At 39.0% G+C, this 3,254-nt stretch overlaps 1 annotated feature.

Moving 5' to 3' along the window:
• Positions 2,078-2,247: an enhancer, noted in NCBI's record as "experimental_35265 CRE fragment used in MPRA reporter constructs". NCBI's record gives its function as "activates a minimal promoter by MPRAs in K562 erythroleukemia cells, with activity observed for both the introgressed and non-introgressed 14:66217639 variant alleles {active_cell/tissue: K562}" and the evidence as "EXISTENCE:reporter gene assay evidence [ECO:0000049][PMID:34662402]".

The following is a 3,254-nucleotide window of genomic DNA, read 5'->3' as shown; positions in this document are numbered from 1 at the left end:
GTTTCTTCCTCTATAAAATTAGAACAATACTAGTTTCTCCCTCATAGGGTTGTTGTGAGAGTGAAATTAGTTAATACATAGAAAGCACTTAAAACAGTGCCTGACATATAGTGGCTATTCAAAAGATGCTAGTTTTGTTATTATCATCATCTTCAGAGGTATTTAATTATAGCTCTGGATTCTCTAAAACGTCAAATAACTACTGAGAGTCTCCTCCCATGTCTGAAATATGTAGGCTGAAAACCTGGTTTGCAAGATTATGGGCAATTCAATACTGTACTTACGACAACAACAACAACAACAAAGGCTTATTTCAGTCACCTTATAGTCTATTATAGATTCATCAGTAGAAGAGAGTGATGGTTCTGCTCCATGAAATCATTCAGGCATCTAGGCTCTTTCATTGCCTAGGAGCTTGAAGCTTTTCACTGATTTCCTACATCCAGACCGGAGGCAAGTGAAGAGAGAATGCTTAGAGGATCATTCAGAATAATGGTCACACTTGGAAGAGGCTTACATCAGTTCTGTCCACATTCTATTGGCCAGAACTTTAATTACGTGGCCTGACTACAAAATGCAACCCAGCTATGTGCTTAGCAAAAAGATGAGACTGTTTGGAGAGCACTAGGCCAGTCTTTGCCATATCCTTCAACATTTTGTTATACTTAATACAGATATTAATAAAAAAAACTTTTTATTGTGGAAAACATTGAACAAACGCGAAACTAGAAAAAATAGTAACAAATCCCTACAACATATCACTCAGATTAAAAAGTTGTCATCTCATAATCCATCTTGTTTCATCTATACTTACACTCAATTCCTCCTCCCACTCTATTACTTTGAAGCAAATCTGAGACACTGCATCTTTAAATCTGTAATTATTTCAGCACAGTACATTCTCAACCACTTACTATGTGCCAGTCACTGTGCATGCCCTAGGAATACAATAAGGTATGCTTTTTGTCTTTAAGGAGATGCAGCTGAGGAGCTCACAGACTAAAGCTTACTGAGATACATCAGACTGAATCTCAACGACAAAAGAGAACTCTTTTCTTACACACACACACACACACACACACACACACACACACACAATCCTTGCAACAGCCAAAATGGCCATACTAATAAATAAACGTATTTTTCCTGACCTCCCTAATTCACTAATGAGCTTTCTTAAGTATCTTCACTCTTCTTTGAGTAGCGGCTCCTGGGAGAGCCATTTTAGCTTAGGAGCTCTGTATGACAGAGGATGAGCTTACCTGTCAGTAGAGGAACCTGATAATGGAACAGCTGCTGAGAGAGGCTGAGAGGCCCTTTCTGGTCTAGTCAGCTCCTGGGGCTTCTACTAAGCGATGACCTAAGGCTTTAATTCTATCTTTTCCTGAAGGTGGGTAAAATGGCCTCCAGGGGGTTAAGAGGCAGCATCTTAATCAAAAAGAAACTGATTGTTGACAGCTCTGCTGGCTCCAAGTTCTCTCTAATCAGAGCTCAGGACACCTTAATGGGTCACTAACCTTGCCCCAGATGTCCTGCCACATATCACCACCGGCACACCAGCCATTCAGCTAGCCAGACAAAGCAATGAAAAAAATACCATCTGTGTATTCCTTCTACTTCCTTCAGCATTCTCTACCCTGCAGAAGCCTGGAGTGAAATTCAGATGCAAGTGGGCTTGGAATTAGACAAGCCATAATTGGGTAAAACACAAGCAATACCAGACTTCATATTAGAACACTGTGCTCTCATGTACATCAATAATTCCAGTGTCAAATTCAGCCACAGAATATTAACCTGCATGAGACAGTGGGTTCTCTGAAGCACAGACAGGGAAACTGTTTCTGCTCTGAGATGTATCTTGTTAAGCACAGAAGGTGCATAGAATCACACATGGATTTCCTCCTGCACTTAGGGGCTGGGAAAATGATAGCTTAAGTAGCCACTTACTATAATTTAGTGTCTCTGTGTAAACACAACTGGCTGAGCTGGGAATAGACACTCTTTCAGGGCTCACCTTCCAGTGGATGCAGATAAGCAGAAGTCCACAGGGAGAGTGTGACCAAGCAGACGACTCCAGAGCCCAGGGGCAGTCTGCTATCAATTCAAAGAATTTTCACTTGGCCCACCTGCCCACCTATTTCCTGTTGTGGATATGGGTAGAGAGTGAGTAGAAAGAAGTATGAGATGCTAGATTCAAAACTGATTGAGAATGGGGTAAGGGGACAAGATTAAAGACCATGGTTAACAAAAAAGTTACCCTTAAAGTGAGTCTGGATGATCAAACTTCAAAGAATCAGTACTGTAAGGATAAATGGAGTCTGGGTCATGCAGTTTGGCTTTTCACTGCAGAAGGGCAAGACTGTTTACAGGCTGGAAGAACAGACTTCAGAGACACATAGTCCTGAATTTGCCTTGTAATTTAACCCATAGCTTCCCAATAACAAATAGGTTGAAGGTGTACCATAAAATGCAGTTGGTTGTAAATTTTTTATAATGATACAATATTTAAAGCAATTGTCATAACTCTTCAACATTACACTGGTTGAGATTACATTGAAACACTATTTGTGTGACTCCCTGAGGCTTGAATATACTGTTATTTTGTATACTTTACACTTAGTACCCATTGGCAGAGAGCAACCTGAGGTGACCACATCACATACACCTTTCCTGATGCTCTACTAAATCGTCTCAAATTATCAATAGAGGTGTACTGAATTTTTCACTGAGCTCTATTTCCCAAATCCCCTCATTTATCCCAGAATGCCAAATAAATAGAATTTTCTATGTAAAAAAGTTGGGAAAGCACTTATTTAAATTCTGTGAACAAATTTCCTCATCTGAAAAATGAGAATAATAGTACATATCTCATAGGGTATTGTGAAGATGAAATGAATTAAAATATGTAAATAACTTTAGAATAGTGTCTGGAACATAGTAAATGAATAAATGCCAGCTATTATTTTTTCCATATCTGTAAGATGGGGATAATATCTACCTGATAGGGTTGGTGTGAAGATTATACATGAGATAGCACCTGTTAATTGCTTAGTAGGTATGACACAAAGTAGGTCAGTAAGTGCGAAGCAGTATGACTAGTGCTCCAATTAGTTAAAATGTGTGTAACTTTTTATGTTAGATTCTAACTTTCTAGTGCAGTTCATATGTGCACAACTTTCTAGTTAGACTGTAAGCTCCTTAAACTGATTTCATTCTCTTCAGGACCTATTATAGTTCCAGAACTACAGAAATTT

Source organism: Homo sapiens, chromosome 14, assembly GCF_000001405.40.
Source record: "Homo sapiens chromosome 14, GRCh38.p14 Primary Assembly".
Taxonomy (NCBI): domain Eukaryota; kingdom Metazoa; phylum Chordata; class Mammalia; order Primates; family Hominidae; genus Homo; species Homo sapiens.
Note: the sequence above shows the minus strand (reverse complement) of the source record. Positions and strands in the feature narration are given on the sequence as shown.